This window comes from Homo sapiens, chromosome 4, assembly GCF_000001405.40.
Source record: "Homo sapiens chromosome 4, GRCh38.p14 Primary Assembly".
NCBI lineage: Eukaryota > Metazoa > Chordata > Mammalia > Primates > Hominidae > Homo > Homo sapiens.
In genome coordinates this window covers 7,219,433-7,244,616 of record NC_000004.12, presented here as the reverse complement: position 1 = coordinate 7,244,616, position 25,184 = coordinate 7,219,433, and the positions used below count along the sequence as shown (strand labels likewise).

Genomic DNA, 25,184 nt, shown 5'->3' with positions numbered 1-25,184 from the left:
GTGCTTGGAACCAGGGGTGCAGTGCCAAGGCCAACCCACACCACGCCTGCTTCACGCTTTTCATCTCCCCTGAGAACACATGGGCCCTGAAAAGGCCTTGGCAGGCCTGCCGGGCACCCTGCACTTAATATGCAACAGCGACCGAGGGGCAGGGACGGAGCAGCGGGTGTGGTGGCGAAGATGGAACGCCGTCCACTCCTGCAGGAGCAGCGCCGCGTTCCACCAGGCAGGCTGGCATCTGCGGGGAATAGGAGGCCGCTGAAAGCCCTTACCCATGAATCTTCGGAATGACTTTGGGGATAAATAACCACTCGGGGGGAGTGCATGAGCTGGAGAAACTCACCCCCCAAGCTTGTTCCAAGTGGAGAAGCCTTCGCAGTGCTGCTGGGGTTTAGCCAAGCTGGGAGTTGTCAGCTCCAAGAACGGAGATTGGCAGGTTCTGGAGGCTGGGAGGAGCACAGCCCCTGTTCCCAGGGGAGCCGCCCCTTCCTATGTGCTTCAGAAGTGGGGACCCTCTTTCCCGTTCCATGCAGGAAAGGCTGCAGTGAGTCAACGACAAATAGGGGCAAAGAGACAGAGGTGACTCCGCTGAGCAGAGGAGACGACTCAACACCAAGAACAGGGCGAGCATTTCCTTCTGGCCATGGCCCTCCCGGTCCACCTGGTGCACACCCAGCTCCACCGGAATCCCACCATCGGGCCAGGCCTGCTGCGTGCCAGGGAGAGGGGAATGCATGTGAAGACAGAGAGCAGGGAAGGGTTTGGCCTGGTGCCCTGGTGAGGTGCTGACCCAGAGGCCGGCCTGCCCTCGCAGGGAAGCTACCTGCTTGCCTGGCGTCTGCGAACTTGGGTTTGTGGGGGGGGATCCCCACGCCCTAACTGAGAAGCAGGGCTCAGTGTGCCTTTGCTGTTTGTGCAAACCACATGATTCATGCCAACGACCACCCGCTGGCCTTCTGAGAGTCTGGAGTTTTGGTGTGTGTCTGGCGAGGGAGCCTGTGCAGCCAGTTCCTTCCCTGATAGACGGTGTTTCACGGGTGTCATCATGAGATGCCAGAGGAATCAGGCCTGTGCCGTGTGGCTCTGCCGGGAGAGGGTTCTGGAAGCTGGAGCCCGGGCTCCTCCAGCCTTCACTCCCCGCACCTTTCCCTCAGCTGGTCTGGCCTTGTCTCTCTCCTCTCACTGCCAAGGCCTGGGAGTTCCCCTAGCAAATCACCACTCCTAGGGGTGGTCTTGGAGACCATCACGCAGGGGACAAATCACACCACTTTCTCTGAACCTCGGTTCTCAGCTTAGCCTAGCAGGGAGGAGAATGGCCAAGATCTCCTCAACCCTAGCCCCTTCTTTGCCCAAAATCCAAAACCTACCTCCTAAATCCAGCCCTTGCCATTTCTATAGCTCAGAGAGCATCTCAATGCTGGCGAGACCAGAACATCCCACGTGACAACTAAGTGCAATCCCCCAGAGCTTGTGCGTGGATGGGGAGGGGGAACTCAGATCCCTCATGGAGAAAGAAAGCCTGTGGGGTGGGGTCAGCACCTCACCAGGGCGCCGAGCCAACCCTCAACCCCCAGGGGCCCTGCAGCCAATGACGCACTCAAGGAGGACCAGGGCTGACCGTCCTCTGGAAACTCACCAGCATGTGTCACTGCTAGCCCACCATGGGCGCCCCAGTGCCTCCCATCCAACCAGCGTTTTCCCGGTGCTGAGCCCTGGGCCAAGCGATTGTGACGGCAACTTGGGAATGGTAAGGTGTGATCCCTGCCCACTGCAGGCGACAAGCTGGGGCGCTCATAGACATGTTTGCAGCTAACTCTGGTATAAGACTGACCGAGCATCAGCTCAAATCCTGGGGGAAGTAATGGCCACGGAGTCTGGACCAGGGGAAAGCCACTTTGGAGGGGGCTGGGAAAGCTTCACCCAAAAGCTAACATTTGAATTGGGCCTGGAAGTGTGGGCGGGCTTGGGAAAGCAGGATGAATAGGGAGAAATTCACTCCAGAAAGAGAGAGCAAAGGACATGATAGCCCAGGTGTCCAGCCAAGGTGGAGAGGAAGGGGAAGAGACGGGCTTGGGGATGACGCAGTGAGCTAAAGATTCAGGGATTGATTCAGAAGACCAGTGCAGTGGCTCACACTATAATCCCAGCACTTTGGGAGGCCGGGGTGGGAGGACTGCTTGAGCCTAGGAGTTTGAGACCAGCCTGGGCAACATAGTGAGACCCCAACTCTACAAAAATAAAATTTAAAAAAAAAATCATCCAGGCGTGGTGGTGCATGCCTGTAGTTGCAGCTACTCAGGAGGCTGAGTTGGATAATCCCTTGAGCCTAGGAGTTCAAGGCTGCAGTGATTTGTGATCATACCACTGCACTCTTGGATGACAGAATGAGACCCTGTCTTTTAAAAAAAGAAGAAGACAACAGGGCTCTGAAAGGCTCCGAGGGAACACTCATGTGACTCTCACGCAGCCGCTTTCCTAAGGACCAGCCACAGCAGGAGGAAGGCCCTACCGAATCAGTGCGGCAGCCAGGGTGGGTCTGAGGGTCCTGAAGCTGCCTAGGTGATGTAATAACAGAGAGGTAGGTAGCTTCCTCGCCAGTCAAACGGCAGCCTCTGCCCGGTACCCCCAACAGTCAAGCTGCACTCAGCTGCAGCCAGGGATGCTGTGAACTCCACCTGTCCCTGCACTCCCACTGCCAGGCACGGAGTAGACGCTCAACACCGTCAGCTAAACAGCCTGCGGAGCAAGCATCCCAGCGCCCAGCAAGGCCACACACACACGCACACAGATGTTTGCTCATTTCCCCAAGTGCTCACTCAGTCGCTCTGCAGCACTTTCAGCAAACGGATGTGAGGCACTCAGAAGCACCCAGAATCGGAACGGAAAAGAAAATGAAAACCACCTTAACCAGGGAGAGACTACGGAATGGCATCGTGTGCTGGCAACTGTCAGAGTTCTCAGTGCGTCTCCTGTGGATTCTTTTGTTTCTCACTGCAAATTGCCTCCTCCAACCAAACCATGCACCCCAGAAGGGCAGGGAGGGGCATCATCTGACGCCATCACAACCATGCACCAGGCCTCTCACAGTGCCTGACATGGAAGAGTGCACAGTAAGTAAAAAACTGAGTGAAGAGGAGGGACTCAGGCTGGACCCTCATTCCACGTCCAGGTGAGGAAAAGGAGGAGAAAGGAGGTCTATAGGGCCACTGGGAGCGTTCATGCTGGACCACACAACAACCGGGGCCCATGTCCCACCCCTTCTCCACAGCACTAACCAGGGACACAGAGGGCAGTGAGGCCTGGACAAGCAGGGACCTTAAAACACTGGGTGTCCTCTGCCCACCAGCCAAGCCCCACCGGCCCCCCAGGAAATGGGGGCCTTTAGTGAGGTGGCTCATGCCTGTAATCCCAGCACTTTGGGAGGCCAAGGCAGGCAGATCATGTGAGGTCAAGAGTTCGAAACCAGCCTGGCCAACATGGTGAAACCCTGTCTCTACTAAAAATACAAAAAAAATTTAGCCAGGCATGGTGGCACAAGCCTGTAATCCCAGCTACTCGGGAGGCTGAGGCAGGAGAATCTCTTGATCCCGGGAGGCAGAGGTTGCAGTGAGCCGAGATCGTGCCATTGCACTCCAGCCTGGGCAACAAGAATGAGACTCTGCCTCAAAAAATAATAATAATAATAATAAATTATTTGTTGCTTATCTAAAATTCAAATTGAGCTGAGAATCCTATGTTTTATCTGGCAACTGCAAATGAAGGTCGACCGGGGTGTAAACCACCCGACTTCAGCCACCAGCCCTACTCTCAGGGTGTTTTGGAGACAGCACCACAGCGGGCAGTTGCTCTTACTGTCACTGTCATGGTCACTCTCACTGCCCCTTCAGGGGGAGGTTTACAAGTTGCAGCTTCAGGATTCCAACAGGATCCGGGGCTAGAAAGTGAAGGCCATTTTCAAAGACAGCCCTTCAACATGCAGACACAGCCCAGCCCAGAAAACAAGGACAGGACCAAGCTCTCAGGGCGGCTGGGCCTCAGGGCAGTCACAACCTTTCCCAGCATTGCGCAGTTCCCACCTCCACCACGAGGACGGGGAAACGTTCGGCAGAATCAGAGGAAGATAATCACTTCTAATTATCATCACTCCAGCCTCCAAGCTCCCCGGCAAATTAGAGTGTATCTTTCATTCCAGCTGACACCCTGGATGGCCCCGCGTTACGTATCAAACAAATTACAAATCCCCAGGAAGGACTCATCGAGGTAATTTGCTGGTGAAACATTTTTTACAGAAGTAAAACCTGATAAGAACAAAGCTCAGCAGGGTTCTCAGCTTCTCTCTTCTTCCGGAGGAGGTGACAAGGTGGTACGTGCAAGCAACACCCGCAGGTACCTGGTGTTTTGTTCTCTGCCCCTGCAGCAAGCTCCCCTGACACCATCTCCTTCGGGGATCACGACAGCCCCGTGGGGCCGGGGTCATCACAGCCCAGAACACGGAGGCCCAACAACGTCAGGTGGACTCTCCCAGGCCCCAGCTTTGAAGGGCAAGAGCTGAAATTAGAAACCGGGTCTACAGTGAGGAAGCTCAGATTCCCTTCTGTGGAGAGCAGAGCTTTCCTGTGCTCCCCACAGACAAGAAGCCACCACGAGACACTCAGGGCTGTGCTCGCCAAACAGACGGCACAAGATTCCGACCCTTCCAGGAACAACGTCCACCTTCCCCAAAGCAGTTTCAACAAAGATGAAGGCAGCTCTGGGCTGTTCACCCTCATTGACAAATTCTTGGGCTTTTATCTTCAAAGATAAAGAAATCAAAGAGTTAGTTCTTTTCTCTTTTATTCACTTCCCTAACATCCGAAAGGGCAAAAGTGGTCTTTTCAGAACTTTTCGGCCAGAACCCCTGCTTTTTGCTTTACAAGAAGGAAATGACCCATAAGAGGCCTATCCTGGGGGCCAAGTGCGAGACTCGCCCAGCGACCCAGCCGGGCCCAGCCCCAGCTCCCCAGGGGCTGTTTTAGCAAACAAACCAGCCCTCCCTAAGGCCCTTCTCCAGATCCCAGGCTCACAGTCAGCAGTCAGCAGCCTGGTGACAGTAGCTTTCACCCAGGGAAGGGTCTGGGACCAGGAAGATTCAAAAAAGAAAACTGAAGCCCTCCAGGAAAGCAAGAGAGAGAGGAAGAGGAGGGCCGCTGAGCGTGGTTATTGGAGCCACTGTCCCGGCCACGGGGACTCCAACCAGGTATAGAGACCAGCAGGGGAGCTGCTCCTGGCAGTCCAAAGGAGGTCGGGGGCCCTCCCGGCCACAGCCCTGCCCCAGATCCCTCGGTGCTGGGCCCCAGCCTTTCTGCAGAAGCTCAGAAGCTGCCAACATAGCCACGGGCAGCCCGTGAGTGAGGAGGAGGTCCCCCTTCAACTGATAGCAGCATCCTGGGCACAAAGGAACCTTCTGCAGAGAGTGGCAGGAGCAGAGGGCAGTGGGGAGGAAGGAGGGACAGGGACTTTGAAGGAGCCTCTGGGGAGCACAGGAAGGAGCCACAGAGGCCAAGAGGACGGGGGAGTCTCCTGCTGAGTCCAGTGCTGTGCCCAGCTCCCTGCTGAACTCCACAGGGACGTGGGCCATGCCTAGTGCTCCCAGTGGTGGAGCTGCTGGGGCAGATGCAGCCACGGATGGCCCAGATGAAGAGGCTGCAGCGAGGGCACAGGGGTGATGGGGGTGACAGGCCAGCAGTGGTAAAGAGTGCCACAGCCACATGGCCGGGACAGACCTCAGAGGGCTCACTGGCCCAGCCCAACCCAGGGAGGCCGTGTGCACCAGGAGCTGGCGGACAGGGGTCAGCCACAGACTCCAGAGAGGGAGCAGAGGCGAAAACAGAAGCACCAAGCTAGTGACAGGAGGAGCTGGATTCAAACCCAGACACACGCAGGGCAGCAGCTCACGCTCCTAATCACACCACAGATTAACACAAACACAACCACGTGAGGGTGCAGGCCTGGCTTCCACCATCCCCACTGATGCCACTTGCACACACACACAGGCACACACATATATGCACACACGTGAGCACACGCACACAGGCCCCTCACTCCTGAGAGCAACCAAGCTGCTCTGAGCTCACAGCGCCACCCAGTGACCAGTGAGAACTGTCTGGCTTAAGGCTGCTACCAGCCATCTTCCTAGCTAGGCAAGGACCTAGGAGCCCTACCAGCAGCATGGCTGCTATACCTTAAAAAAAATTTAACAACAGCCTCAGTCTGGATTTGACTTTCTGCACAGCAAAAAGCATCATTAGCAACACACAAAGCTGTATGCAGTACCAGCAACCCCCCCCAGACTCCCTCTACCTCCCCAGCCTCTTCTAATTAAATCTAATTAAATCTGTTTTTCCTCAAGCACCAGCATCCAAAATTAATAAAATCATTGTTTATTCTTTTGAGTACATCTGGTTCATGGAAGAGTTGGATTACAGTCATGTCATTCGGCCTCTGCAAACGTGGCCTCTTCATTCCCACCATGAGTCAAATAGAATGCTGTCTCCCTCTTGCCAGCGCATCGGAAAGAACATTGTTTCCGAAAGAAGATGCACTTCACATTGCAGATGACAGCCATCCAACAGCACCCCTGGCCCACAGTCCACTGGTATCCCAAGAACTCCTGAGCACTCTGGCACCATGCTCCTTGATAGTTCTCTAATTTAGAAGCAAAAGGAAAACGGCACACACATTTCAGATGGATCATGGTACAAATCCTAGAGAAATCACACTCTAAAAAACATCCACAATAGAGTATGTCAAGCAGAAGGAGAAAACGAAACTCCCCTCCTTGGGCCCATCGTTCTGCCTGTTCCAAAGAGCTTTGTCAATCAGGATCTGACGTAAACTCATGGCCCTCCCCACTGGGTATTATTATTCCCACTTTATAGATGGGATAACAGAGGCCCAGAGAGGCTGAAACATAAGACTTAACATTTCAGGACATAGAATCCCGTCTGCTTTCCTCAATAAGGCACCCGTTGCAGCAAGCTCAATACCTGGTCCATAATAGGTCCTTTTCAAAAGATGCTGAATAAATAAATAAATAGATAGATAAATAAAAGTATTAAATGCTAGAGTCAGTGCCTAGTCTTGCGGCCCAGGGTTCACTCCCTGGCTGCAACTATATTGAGAAGGATGTGAACAGGGTCCCCTTGGGAGGAGCCACTGTGGGTCACTGTGGCCACCTGAGACCAGCAGCCAAGAGGGGTCTCTTCTAAAAACAGCAGCCCAGCGGACACAGACCAGAAGGCCACCAGGAGCATAAAGCCTTTCTTCAAATAACAAGTTAAGATTGTTTTCAGCAGGAATCCCTTTGGCTTAGGAGGTTTTCCTGGGCATCTTGAAAAGGCTGTCTATTTTTATTGCAATCAATTTTGTTAAAGTTGGATTTACTAAAGAAGAAGATGAAAATTGCCCATGTTATCTGCTGCTTGTCAGAAACTTCACATTCCAATTTCTGTTCTCGGCCGGACTTGAGGCCCCAAACTCCTCCTGCACCACTGCCAGGAACTAAAAATAGCTGCCAGTGACCATGTGCGCTGGCACAGAGGCCCAGCATCTCAGGATGGCTGCCTCAGAGCCCCACCCGACCAGTCTTTCCCAGGTGGGCTCAGCAGAGCCCTGGGACTCCCCCAAGGCCAGGTCTCCATCTGGAAAATAACAGAAGTTTCTCCTGTGAGATGAGACAGCATTAAAACAATAAAAATGACTGGGCATGGTGGCTCAGGCCTGCAATCCCAGCACTTTGGGAGGCCGAAGTGGGCAGATCACCTGAGGTGAGGAGTTCGAGACCAGCCTGGCCAACATGGTGAAACCCTGTCTCTAATAAAATACAAAAATTAGCCAGGCATGGTGGCACGTGCCTGTAGTCCCAGCTACTCAGGAGGCTGAGGAAGGAGAATCGCTTAAACCCAGGAGGCAGAAGTTGTAGTGAGCCGAGATTGTGCCACTGCACTCCAGCCTGGGTGACAGAGCGAGACTCCACCTCAAAAAATAATTAATAAATAATAAAACCATGGTAAGAAACCGGTAACAGTGGCTCTACTAGGCAGCAACACAGCACAGCGGCAGAGAATATTCTCTCCGATGCCCCTCACCTACGCCATCAACCCCTCCTGCCCCAGCACCTCCTGTCTTTTCTCCCGTGACTCTCAGACTCCCCTCACTCTCCTGCTGCCAATAGACACACTCCCAGTCCTCAGCCTGGCAACACACTCCTGCCCCAGGGCCCCTGCACTGGCCGTTCTGCTGCCTGGAATGCTCAGGCCTCAGATACCCACGTGGCTCCTGCCCTCACTTCCCTCCCAGAATCTCTCAAAAGTCACCTGCAGTGAGACCTCCTCTGGCCACCCTACCTAAAACGCCAAGCTCCTCCATTTCCAGACACTTCATATTCCCCTTCTGTATTTATTTTCTCCTTTTCACACTCACATACATGAATGCATTTCTGTGCAGGTATAGGTACCCACATGAACGTCCATACGTGCAAGTGTCTGAAGGCCAACAGGCACGTGTTTACCCATCAGAAGCTATTACATGCCTCCTCCCCACTAGAATGCCAGCAGGCAGGGATTTTCAACTTTTTTGTTTTCTGCTCCATCTTCAGCATCTAGTAAAGATTTATGAGTGCGTGGAGACTCTTTCAAGGCTTGGCAACCCTTACACTCGCACCTAGAGTTTCACGGGTGCTCACACCTGTCTAAATGGAATTGCAGCGCTAGCAACATCGCCTGCCACGATAAGCTGCCCGGGAATCCAGAAGGGAGGCATCTCACCTTTGCAGCAAACGGAACCAGCACTCGCCTGCTCTTCCAAGCCTCTCTGCCCACTAAGTGCTCATCAGAGTGGGCATGGATAGACTCAGGCAGCACAATCAGTCCCCTCTGACAATCAAGGCCTGGCCTCTCAACGGCCACACAAACAGCCAGAATGGGCCCCAAGTACACAGGGCGCTCTACCCTAGTGCCTATCACCCCCTTCCCAGGAAGCCACCCCTCAGGGGCCAGGCCACAAACACCTCCCCGCTAATCACCTCTGGGGGCTCCCCATCCACCCGCTCTGTGTTCTCTGCAGTCGCAGAAACCTGGGTAGCCTACAGTCAAGACACAGTCACTCAAGGCTAAGGGGACCAGGATTGGACCCTCTGTGTGACCTCAGGCCAGTGGCCATGCCTCTCTGAGCCTCCATTTCTTGCTCTAGAAAATGAGGGTCTTACCAGTTCCTGCCCCAAAGATCTGCTGTGGGGATGAAGGTAGAGGCTGCCTAAGAAGGAGGGTCCTGGCGATGAGGCCACGCCCAGTTTCCCTGCCTCAGCTGAGCCTGGCGCGGGCAGCAGAAGGGTGGGGTACTAACTGGTGCGGCTGCACAAGGCGCCCTCATGCAAGCCGGCACAGTGCTGTGTGCTCGCCACCTCCCGCCTATCTGCTGTTAGTACCATTCACCGGCAAGGACACCGAGGCTCCAGGAGGGGAAATCACTGGAGAACGCCAGATAGACACAGAGTTCAGACCCTCACGGGATGCAACGCAGAGCCCAGCTCCAGATGCTCAGCCTCAGTTTCCACCCTGTGCCCAACTCGCTCCTGCTCTGCCTTCCCCAGGCCTAAGTTCCCCTGCCACGCACTCCACAAGACTTCAGGCCCAGCCTAGCCCCTGTCTCCTCGGCGAGGCCTTCCCCGGCCTCCTGGCCCCAGCACTGCCTGCCCCTGAGTCTGTCCCCTGAACTGCAGCAGCCGTGGACAGGCTGCCTGGAGGGGCACAGCCTGGGGCAGCCATCATCAGGCTCCTGGAGAGGGTGGCAGGCTGCGCTGTCAGGGCCTAAGAACAGCAGAGTCCTCCAAGCATGTGCTAAGCTCTTACTGTATGCCAGGCACCGTGACAGCAAAGACAGAAGCCTACGTGAGCTGCTGGGAGCTGGCCAAGGAGACAGATCCTAGAGGACAATGGCCAGGGAGGCCGCCTAGACCTGCAGAGCCCAGGACTGGAACTGAAGCTGGATCTCCTCCAAGCTCAGGGACCCAAGGGCGAGAGCATCAGCCTCCCAGCCCTGGGCTATGTGGCCACGTCGGCCGCCCAGTGATACCCCAGAGAGGCCACCATGCTGGGTCACTGGGCCACAGAGTGTTCCTGGAAGTCCTTGGGCCAACAACCCTTGCACAGCACAGGATGCAATTCAAAGTAATACTTCCTTCCTAAAAGTAATGAAAGACCAATAGCATGGCAATGACTGGAAACTTCTGGGAGAACTCAGCACCCTTGCTTCTGCAGCAGCAGAACAGGCCTGCTGGCAGCTGGAGGGTGGAGAAGGCAGTGTCCCCACAACTGCAAAGCCCACGCTACTATTCTCGGCCCCAGGCAGCTCAGACCCAGCACATCTCGAAATCAAGGTATCAAAAGAATCAATACATTTCAGGGCGAGGGAAGAACCTGCCACTGTGATGACAGCCCAAATCCCAAGCATCTTTCTGGTGGGGGATCAAGGTCCTTGTCCTAGTAACTCCAGCACCTGGGGAGATGGGGCTGCCAGGATCAAGGGCTCGGTGGGAGTGGGTGGTCCATTAACCCCTATGCCTGCACAGATGCATGGGCTCCCTGGAGAGGCTCGGGGATACGGTCCTCCCCCACCCCCTTTCCATCTTGCTCCTGAGCCCAACAGCCTCCTTTTACAGATGCGGAAACTGAGACCAGAGAAGGGGATGGGATAGCGGACAGGACAGTGTATTACAAGTGCAAACCTCAGACTCCTCCCCACCACCCTCTGATGTTTGCACCACGGCACCCATTTTACAGACAGGAAAACTGAGGCGTGCAGGAGTACAGGCTCGCCTGAGGCCCAGGTGGGCAGAGCCAGAGACAGGACTCAGATGCAGGATGGCCTGGCTCTGACACTCAGAAGTCCACCCTGCAGCATCAGACGGGGGACCAGGCCAGTATTACCTGGGGACCTTAGAACGTCCCACCTGAGAAGCGCTGCACTCCACGGTGACCGCCAGCCTCATTCCTGAGTCCTCGTCCCAGCACCCACCCCGTCCACCCACCACCACAGCTGCCAGTGTCTGCTCACCCTGAACCCAGCAAGTGTCTGCTCACCCTGAGCCCAGCGAGGGTCTGTACTGCACTGTGGCCCAGTGTCCGGGCCCCTGGATGGAAACAGGATGGCAACCTGCGGGCTGCTGTGGAGGCTGTGGAGGACGTGATGAGGGCTACGTCTGCCCTGGAGCAGGTGCTCAGCGGTGGCCAGGAGACGTCATCATGATGACACCCTGGATGTGCTCCTGTCCCCACCGTGGCTTCTGCAGGCATAGTCCACAGTTGGTGTCTGGGTCCCACACCACCCTTCCTAGTTCTCAGGGCTGGCCGACGCCTCCCCCTGCTCTGGAAGGCTCCCTCTGCCGTGCCGTTCCTGCTGCCTGCAGTGACAGTACCTGGCCTCCCTCGGGTACCTTGGGGACTCGCCTGTGCCCAGCCCAGCCTCCTCCATCAGGAAGGCAGTAGTTGAACATGCGGGTGCCGAAGCCTGACTCCTGGGCTCAGCTGACCCATGCCCCAGAAAGCCTCTGGGAGGTTCCTAGTGCAGAGGAGCAGGGAGCTCTGGTGATGGCCATCCTACACTGCGCCCATCACTGACACCTTGTCTCTGACAGTGCAGCAGTGTCTCTATGGGACCAAACACTCCCCAAGGGTGGGGGTCCCCCAGTGCCTTACCAAATCTTGACTTTGAGACCATGCTCGGCCCCCAGAGGCTGACACATGACAGTCTGTTGGGCAGAATTGAACCGGGTGCCCTGGGCACCCCCATGGCATCCCTGTCCACAGAGTGGGACCCACAGTGTCGCTGCCTACTGAGGGGGCCCAGGGCAGCTCCCAGCAGGGTGCGGGAGGGGCACGCATCGACACAGTGTGGCATCCCTCACAGAAATGGCACAGCTGGCGCGGGCAGGAGCCCCCACATTATGCAAAGCCCCAGCACCGAGGGCTCAGATTGAAATGTAGGAGCTGAGCGGGAGTCTAAAGGTCACGGACCACGAGGCTTGGCAGGAAAGCGAATTAAGAGCTTGGGTCCAGAACCCCAGGGGGCTGTAGAGATGATGAAAAGAATAAATCCGCCATCCTGGGCTGCCGTGGGGGGTGACATAATGAGGCTGGCATACCATGCCTTGCTCGCTAACTAGCGCTCTCCGGCGTCCAGGCGCCGGGCCCTGGGTCCTAGGAGTCTGGCAGCACCAGGAGCAGAGCCCACAGGGAACAGGCACTGGGCTGGCTCAGACCTCAGCAGCCTCCCCAGGAAAAGGCCACAGGGTCACTGGGGTGTCCCCCTTCCTCCTGGCCACCAGGCAGCTTTCCCCTCATCCATCCTGCCAAAGCCCAGGCCTCCCCACTGCTCCCCTAGGCTACTCCCACAGCCCATGCTTCCCCCAGGGCCCGCAGCCTCCATTCCCCCAATCCTGCTCCACGCTGTGCCCCAAGCTATGCAAGACAGTGACTCTCCCACCACCCTCCGCAGAAGCCATCCGCAACTCCGTCATCTCAGCTCCGCTGCCCAGATGTCAGCATCCTCAGCAATCACGGGGCCCTTGTCAGAACACAGCTCCAGGATGGGCCAGGACATCTGCATCTCCAGCAGCACCCAAGTGCACCCTGTGAGTGACCCTCCATGATCCAGCCCAAGCCCCACCCCAGTCTCATCCCCACCCCGAGAGCCTGGGTCTCTCCCAATCCCCCCAGATGCCACACTTATATCCTTGTCCTCGTGCCCTCAGTCTGGAATGCCTCCTCTGCTGACCACCCACACCATGGCAGTCACATTCATTCCTAAAGTGCAAAGGCCACCTCCATCATGAAGTCTTCCCAAATCTTACCCCACAAAAAGAACGACCCTCTCCTCTGTGTCCCCACCGGATGCTGCCTGGCCCCTGGTGCAGGATGGTCCACTTTCTGCTTCAGTAGGCTGCCCCGTTCATCTGGGGGTCCCCAGTGCACCACACAGTGTAGAGTTCCATAAACATTTGCTAAGTGAATGAACAAATGAGTGGATGGATGGATGGATGGATGAATGGATGGATGGATGGATGGACAGATGCAGACAAACGGATGAGTGATGGGTGGATGGGTGGATGGTATTACCAGGTGTGATGGTTAATTTCATGTGCCAACTTGACTGGGCCATGGGGTGCCCAGATATTTGGTCAAACATTATTCTGGGTATTTCTGCAGGGGTGTATTTGAATGAGATTAATGTATACATCAGAAGACTGAGTGAAGCACATTGCCCTCCACAATGCAGGCCAGCCTCATCCAATCAGTTAAAGGTCTGAATAGAAGACAAAGCTGACCCTCCCCCCAATTAAAAGAGAATTCTCTTGCTGACAGCCTTCAACCTGGAGCATCAGCTCTTCCAGGCTCTACAGCAGCCTGCCAGCCTTCAGATCAAACTGGGACATTGGCTTTGCAGATTCTGGACCTGCCAGCCTCCATCTTTATGTGAGCCAGTTCCTTATAACAAACCTCTGTCATAGATATGAAAATATATACATTAAAATCTCTAGATATAGACAGATACAGATATGGATATGGATATGGATATGGATATAGATACAGATAGAGATCTAGACACACACTTCCTACTGGCTCTGTTTCTCTGGAGAACCCTGACCAATGCACTGGGTGTCTTCATCTCCTTCATACAAGAGCACATGACACTGCTCCTGCCCAGAGACTCGAAGGCTTGACCATCTTCATCTCCTTCATACATGAGCACACCACACTGCTCCTGCCCAGACACTCGAAGACTTTACCATCTTCATCTCCATCATACATGAGCACATCACACTGCTCCTGCCCAGAGACTCAAAGACTTGACCATCTTCATCTCCTTCATACATGAGCACATGACACTGCTCCTGCCCAGAGACTCGAAGACTTGACCATCTTCATCTCCTTCATACATGAGCACATGACACTGCTCCAGACACTGCTCCGGCCCAGAGACTCAAAGACTTGACCATCTTCATCTCCTTCATACATGAGCACATGACACTACTCCTGCCCAGACACTGGAAGACTTGACCATCTTCATCTCCTTCATACATGAGCACATGACACTGCTCCTGCCCAGAGACTCGAAGACTTGACCATCTTCATCTCCTTCATGCATGAGCAAATGACACTGCTTCAGACACTGCTCCGGCCCAGAGACTCAAAGACTTGACCATCTTCATCTCCTTCATACATGAGCACATGACACTAGTCCTGCCCAGACACTGGAAGACTTGACCATCTTCATCTCCTTCATACATGAGCACATGACACTGCTCCTGCCCAGCGACTAGAAGACTTGACCATCTTCATCTCCTTCATACATGAGCACATGACACTGCTCCAGACACTGCTCCGGCCCAGAGACTCAAAGACTTGACCATCTTCATCTCCTTCATACATGAGCACATGACACTACTCCTGCCCAGACACTGGAAGACTTGACCATCTTCATCTCCTTCATACATGAGCACATGACACTGCTCCTGCCCAGAGACTCGAAGACTTGACCAACTTCATCTCCTTCATACATGAGCACATGACACTGCTCCTGCCCAGAGACTCGAAGACTTGACCATCTTCATCTCCTTCATACATGAGCACATGACACTGCTCCTGCCCAGAGACTCGAAGACTTGACCATCTTCATCTCCTTCATACATGAGCACACCACACTGCTCCTGCCCAGACACTCGAAGACTTGACCATCTTCATCTCCTTCATACACGAGCATGACACTGCTCCTGCCCAGACACTGGAAGACTGGACCATCTTCATCTCCTTCATACATGAGCACATGACACTGCTCCTGCCCAGAGACTCGAAGACTTGACCACGGAACACCATGCAGATCTAACACCCACGACCCTGGAACACCCACGACCGTGACAGAAGCTCTTAGGCCCTTTTTCAGCCTCGGAGTGACCTCAGCCCTCTATGCCCTGGGCATGAGCCAAGTAAGGTTTGGTCCAGATCATGACAGGAGGGATTCCAGGCAAGCTCCGGAAGGAGGAAATTCAGACGATCTGTGCTGGAAGCCTGGGTGCTCTCCAGCGTGGACTCTCCCTGGGAAGGCAGGCCAACTTTACAAGACAGAGGCTCTCTTTCTGGAAAGGTTCTAGAGCCCTTGGAGCAAGGGAAGAGGATGGAGTCCTTAGACCCTCTTGATTCTCAGTCCCGGGTGCTAAGAAATTGGCACCGAGATCCTCCCAGGGAGAGGGGCTCCTGTCAGCTGGTGGCAGGGACATTCTTTAGGGGGTCATGGCATGGCAGAGTTGGAAAGCTTTCACTGTGTGGGAATTATGGGGGAAGGAGATGTTCTGGGGGAGGAAACAGGGTATGCAGAGATGGGGCCACCCTTGGAGGAGAGGCTCCTGCCTGTGGGTTCCGAGCACGGCAAGCTACCCCTATACCCAAAAGTAGAAAGGACACCCTCACAGGCAGACCCAGAACAGGGCCCAGGGAATAGCAAGAGGAACAAAATCAAAGGGGCCTGGGTGCACGGGGACCCCTCAACACAGACCAGGCCACGAAGCAGAGCAAGGCGCGGCAGGCCTCACGCAAGTCCACTCGGGGCAGGGACGGGACGGCCTGGCCACGGGAATGGGCCCTTCCAGCCCTGGACTGGCCAGCAGGACTGGGATCCCATGCAGTCCATCCAGGGGGCACCAGCCCGGCTGCTGATGCCATGGAGGAACACCATGGGGCACTCCCCTGTTTTAGATGGTGGCCCTGGTCGCATGGACTGAAGGTCCCAGAGGGTGGGCCCAGCCACCCAGCACATGCCTGTGGCCACAGCAGCCCCAGAGCAGCTGGACAGAGTCGTAGGCCCCAAGCCCTGACCACAGAGAAGCTGCGGGTCCTGAAGTGGATCCAGGAGTGGATCAGGTCCTGAGTGCCCTCAGCTCCCACAGCTGGACCTGGAGATGGCCCCTTCTCCACTCCTCACCATGCAGGGGCCAGGCCAAGTCCATGTCCTCTGCATAATTCTCACCGTGAGCCTGTGTAGGCAGGACGATCACCTTCATCTTCAAGAGAGGACGCAGAAGGCAAGGAATATGCCAAGTTTTAGGCTCAGTAGAGACTGGAGAGGGAATCCGCACCTCATCCACCCTTGCTGAGATTCTGCTTCTAGGCCTCCCCACAGCACCGGACACATGCAGGTGACTGTTACATGTTGAACTGTGTCCCCTCAAAACCCACCTGTTGAAGCCCTAGTTAACACCCTGCACCCCAGGATGCGTCTGTATTTATTTGGAGACAGGACCTTTAAAAGAAGGTGGTCAGAATGGGCCCTGACCCAACGTGACTGGTATCTTCACAGGAAGAGGAGATTAGGACACAGGCACATACGAGGATGCCGGGAGAAGACAGCATCTGCGAGCCAAGGAGCGGGGCCTCGGAAGAAAACCAACCCTGCCTACATCTTGTCTTAGCTTCCAGCCTCCAGGACTGTGAAGAATCAGCCTCTGCTGTGGAAGCCCCCAGCCTGCAGTCCTTTGTCACAGCAGCCCAGGCAAAGGACACTGTGGCCAAGAAATGCCACCCATGAGCTCCCGCTTGCTCCCGTTCAGTCATCCTCAGCTCCCGCCACCCCCTGCCTCACAGCTGGATGAGGAGCCCCAGAGAAGGAGAAAGCAGGTGTCCATGCCCTCCCCGGCACCCTGAGCCCACCGCACCTCCAGGGAGGGAGCTGCCCTCCTCTAGGAAAACCCCAACAGGAAGATTTTGGAAGAGGGGACAGCAGGCACCACAGCCACAAAACTGCGTTTAGCCGCTCTGCCTGAGGACCCAGAGGGTTTGGTTTCACTGCTCTTGGGACTGGGGAGAAGAAACAGGAGAGAGGGGTGAAAGGCGAGGAAGGAGGGAGGAAGCAGCGCGGTGGGTGAGGCTGGGAAACGACTCCCTGGCAATGGGGCTGGAGGGAACTCTTCACCCCAGGCCACCACACAGAGGGGCGCCAGGTGTGTCTGCCTGGAAGGGATGCAACGTGCCCCCTGCCACCTTCCACCAAATCTCAAGAAAGCCCACCTCACCCACAAGGCCCCAGAAGAGCACAGGATCACAACCTGCAGGCTGCTGTGGAGGCTGTGGAGGACGTGATGAGGGCTACGTCTGCTCTGGAGCAGGCGCTCAGCAGTTTTCTGGAGAAGTCGAGAAGAAAGCGGCTCCCTCGCCTCGGTTAATGCAGAGAGGATCAGAGCCAGAGCACAGGAAAGGGGAACCCAGGGCCAGCGGTGATAAGCACAGATGCGAGGGAAACACAGACCTCAGCCAGGCCTCAGGCTGCAAGTGGGGGTGTGGAGCCAGGCTGGAGCCTATCCTGGCAGGTCTCGAGAGGCCTGAAGCACTGCTGGCCTCTGGGTTCCAACCCAGCATTGCTCAAGCCTGATGTTCCTTCCTGTCCCGCAGGGCCTCCTGCATGTGTGTGAGCACGCACAAGTGCATAAGAGTACCCACAAGTGCGTAAGAGTACCCACAGGTGCATAAGAGTACCCACAGGTGCATAAGAGCAGGTGTGCTGGTGTGGATGAAATGTGAGGGGTGCTGGTCACAGCTGCTACCGCGGTGGCACCATCAGGGATGGCCCCACTGCCCTTCAGCCACATGGCGGCATCGAGGAACTCACTTGCTAGCAAGGCATCATTCAATTTGTGCGTGTGATCCCAGAGATGAGGAGACCCAGAAGGGAAAAAACAAAAACAGAAACAGGCCACGCCCTGGTGCTTCCCGGCGGTGCTTGAAGATGTGGCCTGGGGAGCAGGCGTGCCCCCCTTCCATCCCCCACCAACGGAGCAGGGTCTGCCCATGAGCTCTGGCACAGTGACAGCTCCACACCGAGCCGCCGCAGGGCCACTGCATCTTAACCTCAGCGGTGACTCTGAGGGAGGTGGCCTATGAAAGCTGGGGACAGATGGCGGTCTGGATTAGTGGCCTCGGGGGAAGGGGCCGGGGTTTTCTTTGTCTTGCATGGCGTGTGTTAGTGTGCCTGGAAAAAACAGCCCCTCTGCCCGCCGCCTGTTCCGGATGAGTCCCCTCATACATTCCCCCCAACCCCCACTCACCCGGCCGTCACAGACGTCTGGACTTAACCCTCGAGCAAACGGAACGGCACTGACCGTGAGCTATGGGGCACACACTGCAGTTCAACAGGGCTCCATCAGCTCCTGCCCTGGAAGGACACGCAGAGGTCCAGCAAGGCCAGGCTTGAGGTCAGACAGGCCCAGGTTCCAATCCAGGCTCTGCTCCTTGGGCTTTGTGACCTCAGGCTGGCTGCATACCTCTCCAAGCCTCAGTCCCAAAGGGGCTCAGTGAGGCCACCTCCCAGGTCTGGGAGCAGAAAAGGTAATGCATGCCTGGTGCCTGCCACCATAGACACTCCCTCAGTGGTGGCATTGCAGCTTCCAGCCCTCCCAGCAGCAAGGAAAGCCATCCCTGGAGATCAGAGGCCCCCAGGCTATAGAGGCTGCTTTGGGGGTCCAGACCCTCCGGAGCCACGTTTTCTCACGGTGGCGGAGTTCAAACACAGCCCCAAGTGCTTTGACATTGCTCTCAGTGAGAGACAGGGCCTTTGTTGCCTCCCCTTGAACCCAGACAGGCTTCTGACAGGTTCACAGTGGAAGTGATACTCTGTGGCTTCCAAGGCTGGGACCCAAAAGGCCACACAGCCTCTGCCTTCTCTGCAGGAACCCCCTCGCCACAGCACAGGCCTCATGGCAGCAGTCCCACTGCTGTACGGACACCACGCTGGAAGGAAGCCCCAACTGGTCCACAGCAGAGAACCACCACAGGGGCCCCGAGAGCACAAGAGGAGAGAGAGAGATGTCTGCACAGCCTGGTGGGCCAGCTCACAGGGTGCGGATAGAGACATCCATGCAGCCCCCGTGCACCAGCTCCAGCCCAGTCTAGCAGCAACCACACTGGAGCTCAAGTGGAAATCACCCCCAACCCCCAGCTGGGCCTGAACCACAAAGTGAGCAGCAGTGAGCCCCGGTCCCAGCCCCTTCCCAGGACTGCAGCCATCATCAAGCGTTGGCCGTGCCATGCTGGTTCAGAACAACAGAGAGAGGAGAAGCCAGAGGAAGAGTTCAATGAGGTGATGCAGTAAACATTTCTGTCATGCTTCGGATTTCGCAAAATGCTGTTCTCAGTGCTCCTTTGCATTCAACAGAGAACGATTCCGGTCTGCTCTGAGCCAAGAGCAGGGCTGGGTACAGCACACAAAGATGAAGAGGACTTGGTCCCTTCGCTCACAGTTCACAGTCCAGTGGGCTGGACGCAGGCATCCAGGAGCCATGACTATAGCCACGATCACAGTACCCACAGTTCCCACCATAAATAAAAGCTCCCTGAGACCTCCCCTGAAGCAGAAATGTGTGTGCAGCACAGCACGGGTAGGGGAAGATGGGAGTAACTCTGTAACTCTGTCAGGGTAATCAAGAAAGTCTACATGGAGGAGGCAATACTGCATTAGGGTTTTGAAGGATCAATAGGAGTCTGCCAACATATTTTGTATAATTGGATCACATTCTCTTTCTCTCTCCCTTGGAAGCATTTTATGGAACATACATTGCATACATCACTCTCCATGAGGTAGAGAGAAGACCGGTCTGTTTACACCAAAGCAAAGATGTCACAGATGAAATGTCCTTGGCAAAAACAACTCATAATTAATGAAGCTCAGGGTCCTCCAGGTCCGTTCGGCCCCCAGTGAGCTCATGAGAGAGGACCAAGCCCCAGGACTGTCCTGGAAGGGGAAGGATCGGAGGGAGTGGGAGGTCCACAGGGGCCCCTGATCCCCACCCAGTGCCACACCTCCTCCTCCTTGATATGGTTTGACTCTGTCCCCACCCAAGCCTCACTGTATTCCCCAGTGTTGGCGGTGGGGCCTGGGGGGAGGTCACGGGGATGGAGTTCTCATGAATGGTTTAGTGCCACCCTCCTTTGCACTGTACAGGAAGTGAGTTCTCATAAGATCTGGTTATTTAAAAGTGTGTAGCACCTAATACACTCCCCCAGCCATGGACCACCATGGGTCACAGGTGTGGGCAGAAGCAGCAGCTGACCAAAGCAAAAGGCCAGATGGCGAGGTTTCTGAGACCAGAGGACACGACTTGGCCAAAGCCTGCTGCTGCAGCTTCCCAGGGGTGGCAGTCCCAGCCCCGCCTCCTCTCACCCTTAACACTCATCGCAAATTATTAAAAAGCCACTCCACCTCCCTGTTTGGTGCCTTAATGGTGCATTTGTCTTCACACTTGAGGAGGATTAAGCTAGAGGCAGATTTCAAGGAGAAAATTAAATGTTGTCAGACCTTCCTTCCCCAGCCTGGCTCAGCCCCCTGGGGCTCAGCCCTGCAAGGTTCCCAAGCCACCTGGGCAGAGCCAAGCTTCCTGGAGACTTCCCAGCAGATGGATCTGGATCTGCATCCTGCTGCGGTGCCTAGAGGGGCCCTGGAAACCAGCACGCCAGGCCACACAGCCTTCCCCCACCAGCCCTGGGACCCCCAGCTCACTCAGCAGCCCCACCCTCTCTGCATTGCTATTTTAATTTGCTAATACAATTAATAATATGCAACAGCCATTGAGTTCCTACTCTGTGCCTGGTAGGTATCAGTCATCCCTCTGAACAGACGAGAAAACTGAGGCCCAGAGGACTGACTCTGGGCCTTAACAGCACTTAACAGCCACTTAACAGCATGGACTTCAGAATGAGGCAGGCAGGGTCAGATTCCAGGGGTGGATAACTGCACAGGCGACAGGTGTGGGCCACAGGCCAGACCAGGCATCTTCCCAGATGCCCTTCCCAAGCCCAGCCCTTCCCAGGAAGGCACCAGGAGGCCCCTGAGGCACCTGCACTGAGAGCTTAAGCACACACGGGCCATGCTGTGATTCTGGGGAGTCTTGGTGGACATGTCTAGAGAACATCCGTATGGGCACTGAGTACACGCCCCATTCCTGACTTTTGACCTTGTGACTTCATTTCAGAGAGAATTCATCCTAGGAAACCACCAGACACACAGATAAAGAGTTGTATCCAAGGGTATTAATTGGGTTAATGCACATCAGCATAATTATTTATAATGTAAAAATTAGCATCATTCCAAGGACACAGTGATACAAAAATAAAGAAATGACCGTGTGGCCACCTGTCCTTTCCAAAGGATTTTCACCAAGGTAGGAAAATGCATACAATATAACATTAGGTGCACAAAGAATAATTCCAAACTCTGTGTGTGAGTGTGTGTGTGTGTGTGTGTGTGCGCATATACACTAAGGTCCTTTTCTTTGCACAGAAGAAAAATGCAATGAGAAGGCACCAAAAGCTGGCCATTGGTATCTGTGAGGAATCAGAATGTGGGTCATGTCCAGTTTCTTTTTCCTTAGGCCTTTCCTCTTGCAAGATCTAAAACGAGTATGAGTCCCGTCCTTCATCAGAACACGAGTCTGGGTTTTTTTGTTGCTCAGTTGGTTGTTGTTTTTAATACAATACAAATCTTGGCAAATTCAGGGCTCAGGAAGTCTGGGATTTCAGCATCCTGGGGTCCAGTTAGGATCCAGGCAGAGGAGCCCTCCCTCCACCGACGCAGCCAGGGCCTGCCTGAAAAAAGCAAAGAAGTCTTTGCGTGTTCTTGAGTGAATGAGTCAAGGTGGAGTGGAGGGAGAAGAGGAATGGTTTCCAGCCTCCCTGCAGCTCCTCTGCAGAAAACCCTCCCCAGGCCAGCCCCATGACCACCCCAGGGAGACCACAGCTGCCGTGCCCAGCACCCACACCCCACACAGATCTGTACGCCCCAGCCCTCCCTACACCTGCCCTTTCCAGATCCTCCCGCTCTCTCCTGCCACAGCCTGGGAAGCCTGACCACAGCACGTGGCCTCCCTCCCTGCACCAGCCCTCTGCCCCGGCCGCACTACCCTTCTCTTGAAACAGCTCTACTGGAATCTCATTCGCATGCCAGCCAGTGCACCAAGCCAGTGGCTGTCAGCATATTCACAGACCCCCGCACACACCACCAGTCCATTTTAGACGAGTGCTTCATCACCATGCCCGTTAGCTACCACCCCCATGCCCCGCTCTCTGCCAGTCCCAAGCAACACTGACCTGCTTTCCGTCCCTATGGCTGTCTCTATTCTAGACATTCCATAGACATGCAGCCATACAGTATGTGGCTGTTCGTGGCTGGCTTCTTTGACTGAGTGTCCTGTTTTCAAGGTTCATCACGTATCAGGTGTCAGAGCTCCATTCCTGTCCATGGCTGAATAATATTCTACCACGTGGATGGGCCACATTTTGTTCATCCGTGTCTGTTGCTGGACATTTGGGTTGTCTCACCTTTAGGTACCATGAATCTTGCTGCAGCAGAGACACGGGTTTTCGTCTCTCTGGGGTTTATGCCTAGGAGGGGACTGCTGGGTCACATGACACTTTCTGTCCCCCATACATGCCCAGTTCATTCCATCATCTGAGGTCCCAAAACGCCCTTTCCCCTTGTCTGGTGGGCTCCAAAGCCAATCCCATCCACCCTGGCCCGGGTGGGTCATCACTTGCTCCATTTTCTCCATAGCACTCAGCCCCATCTGAACTTGTTTCACTGTTTTTAGGTTTTCTGTCTCTCTCCCATGCTAAAAAATATAAGCTCCGTGAAGGTAAGGATCTGAATGGCTTGGTCCATATTGAACCAGTGCCTCCTACCACAGGGCCAAACACTCAGAAAATACTCCTTAAATATATGCTTAACTTAATATCTTTCTCCAAGAGTCAGTGAAGTGCTTCCTCTTCCAGGAAGCCTGCCTGGGCCTCCTACAGAATGAGCTGCCCGCTCCACGGCCCAGCAGCTCTGGAAGATGAGTGTTGGCTTTTGCCTCCCATCCCTGGACTGTGGGCTTCAGGAGGGAAAGCTTCTGTCTTTCCTTCGCTGTTTCTCCGGTGCCCTCACGGGCCCAAAGCATGTTAAGGGCTGGGTGGATTTTGCCAAACCACTGCTCCACCCGACATCCCTGTGGCTGCAACAGTTCTGCTCAGAGGTGGGTGACTTGGGGTAATCCGAACCTGCCCCCAGTTCAATTCCAGCTCTTGCACACCTTGAATGAGAAGAGCGCCAGCCACACAGAAGGTCACTACGGCGGTCTCTGGTTCCGCTGGTCACGCAGCCTGAAAAAGGCTCACCTGGGGACATATGCATGTAATACCCAGAGAGCTCATTCAAACTACAGACACTGGGTCCACCCGTAGGCCCAGGGTCTGGTGGGACCGGGATGTTTGCAGCGAGCTCCCATCTCACCTTTACAACAAGTCCTCAGGAGATTCTGACACACACCAAAGTCTGCGAATAACTCCTCAAGGACATCAAATCAAAAACTCAGGGGAAAGAAAGGTGATAATATTTGCCCACAAGAACCTGGGGACATCTTGTCAACCCACAGGGGCATGGTCGGCTCTGTGAGTATGAAGGGCAAAGTCAACATGATTGTATGTTTAATTGGGTGCCGTCACTGAGCTGACACGTTTGCCCACAAAAATAATTATGATTTATTAAACAGCATTCTGCTTATTAAAGCTTTCTTCCCTCTCTCTCTCTGACAAACCACTGGGGCATTACTTTGTTTTGAAAAATCATTCCTTTTTTAAACAACCTGTGTGGGTGCTGCTTAATTAATCATGTTCTTTCTATGGCAACCTGGAGACAGAAAAGGAATTAAACGTGGGGTGTGCTGGAAATTTCTCACAAACTCATCCCCAAGTCACTTCCCACTGCTCGGTGACCAAGCTTGGCCTTGGGAAGGAGCTGGAAAGTGGCATGTTTCACACCTGGGACGCACCTGGAGAGGCCACCCCACAGCGTGCAAAATGGGGCCGGAAATGGGAGCCACGAGCACTTCATTCAGGTCCCCACACATGGAACTTTCCAAAACTGGGGAAATATCAACTGTCCCCACTCCCTCTGAGCTAGACAGCAGCCCCTTGCCTGAATCAACCTCACCCATCTAAACCAATGCTTACTAGATATTTCCAGAAATCAGCTTGAAAATCACGCAAGCCCCTGGCTCCATCTGGCCCTGCTTGGCATCAGGAATTAAGAGAATGGCATCTTCCTTCTCCCCCTGCCAGGACTTCATCCACTCATTCCTTTTCTTTCCATTACTCCACCATGCCTTGAATCCAGTAGTGGGGTGCAGAGAAGACTCAGACGAGGCCCCTAGACCCCATGTTGCACACTCAGCGGCAGGAGCTCACCCGTAAACAATTCATGCCACACACTAGAGAGAGGGTGGCCGTCCCCCACCCCCTCCCCCAAGCCTTGGTTAATGCCTCGGGAGGCCAGGAGGACAGCTCCTCACTAGGCCCCATGGCACCCAGCTGGCTCCCTCAGTGCAGGGCCGCCTCGCACATCAGAGCTGCCTGCCACCAGCCCAGCACACAGACAGCTCAGGCCTCAGAATGTGAAGTCTCAGCCCAACTCCAGTAAAACCAAGTCTTCTGCTTTGAGGGGTCAGTCGGCAGCTGTTGTTCTAAACTGTATGTACTCTTGGTGGAACTAGTTCTGAAATCCATGACACAAATTCCTGGCCTCTTAAATCCAGCAAACCCAACACTCCTTTATTTTCACAACGACATGGAGTCATCACGGTGGAACACGAGGGTGCAGAAGACAGGGGTGCAAGTGTGAGGCTCTCACAGTGCGGCTGCTGCGGGCAAGGTCTGTGCCCTGCACATCAGGGTCCTCCTGCCCTGCGGGCCACCCACAGGCCCTCCAAATTCCCAGCCTGATATGGTTTGGCTGTGTCCCCACCCAAATCTCATCTTGAATTGTAGTTCCCACGATCCCCACGTGTCATGGGAGGGACCCAGCAGGAAGTGGTTGGATCATGGGGTGGTTTCCCCCATGCTATTCTCGGATTAGTGAGTGAGTTCTCACGAGATCTGATGGTTTTATAAGCATCTGGCATTTCCCCTGCTGTACTTCTTCCTGCCGCCTTGTGAAGAAGTCGCCTTGCTTCCCCTTCCACCATGATCGTAAGTTTCCTGAGGCCTCCCCAGCCATGCCAAACTGTGAGTCAATTAAACCTCTTTCCTTTATAAATTACCTAGTCTCAGGTATGTCCTTATAGCAGCGTGAGAATGGAC

The 25,184-nt window shown here is 54.8% G+C and overlaps 1 protein-coding gene across 8 annotated transcripts in view, besides 1 other annotated feature; it reads right to left on the bottom strand.

Moving 5' to 3' along the window:
- The window catches only part of SORCS2 (sortilin related VPS10 domain containing receptor 2), a 550,290-nt gene that overhangs the window by 498,211 nt on the left and 26,895 nt on the right, over positions 1 to 25,184 (bottom strand). The gene's annotated exons all lie outside the window — the stretch shown is intronic.
- Positions 5,258 to 5,757: an enhancer, noted in NCBI's record as "H3K4me1 hESC enhancer chr4:7240587-7241086 (GRCh37/hg19 assembly coordinates)". NCBI's record gives its function as "activates a minimal SCP1, AML or CMV promoter by ChIP-STARR-seq in primed H9 embryonic stem cells {active_cell/tissue: H9 hESC(primed)}" and the evidence as "EXISTENCE:reporter gene assay evidence [ECO:0000049][PMID:30033119]".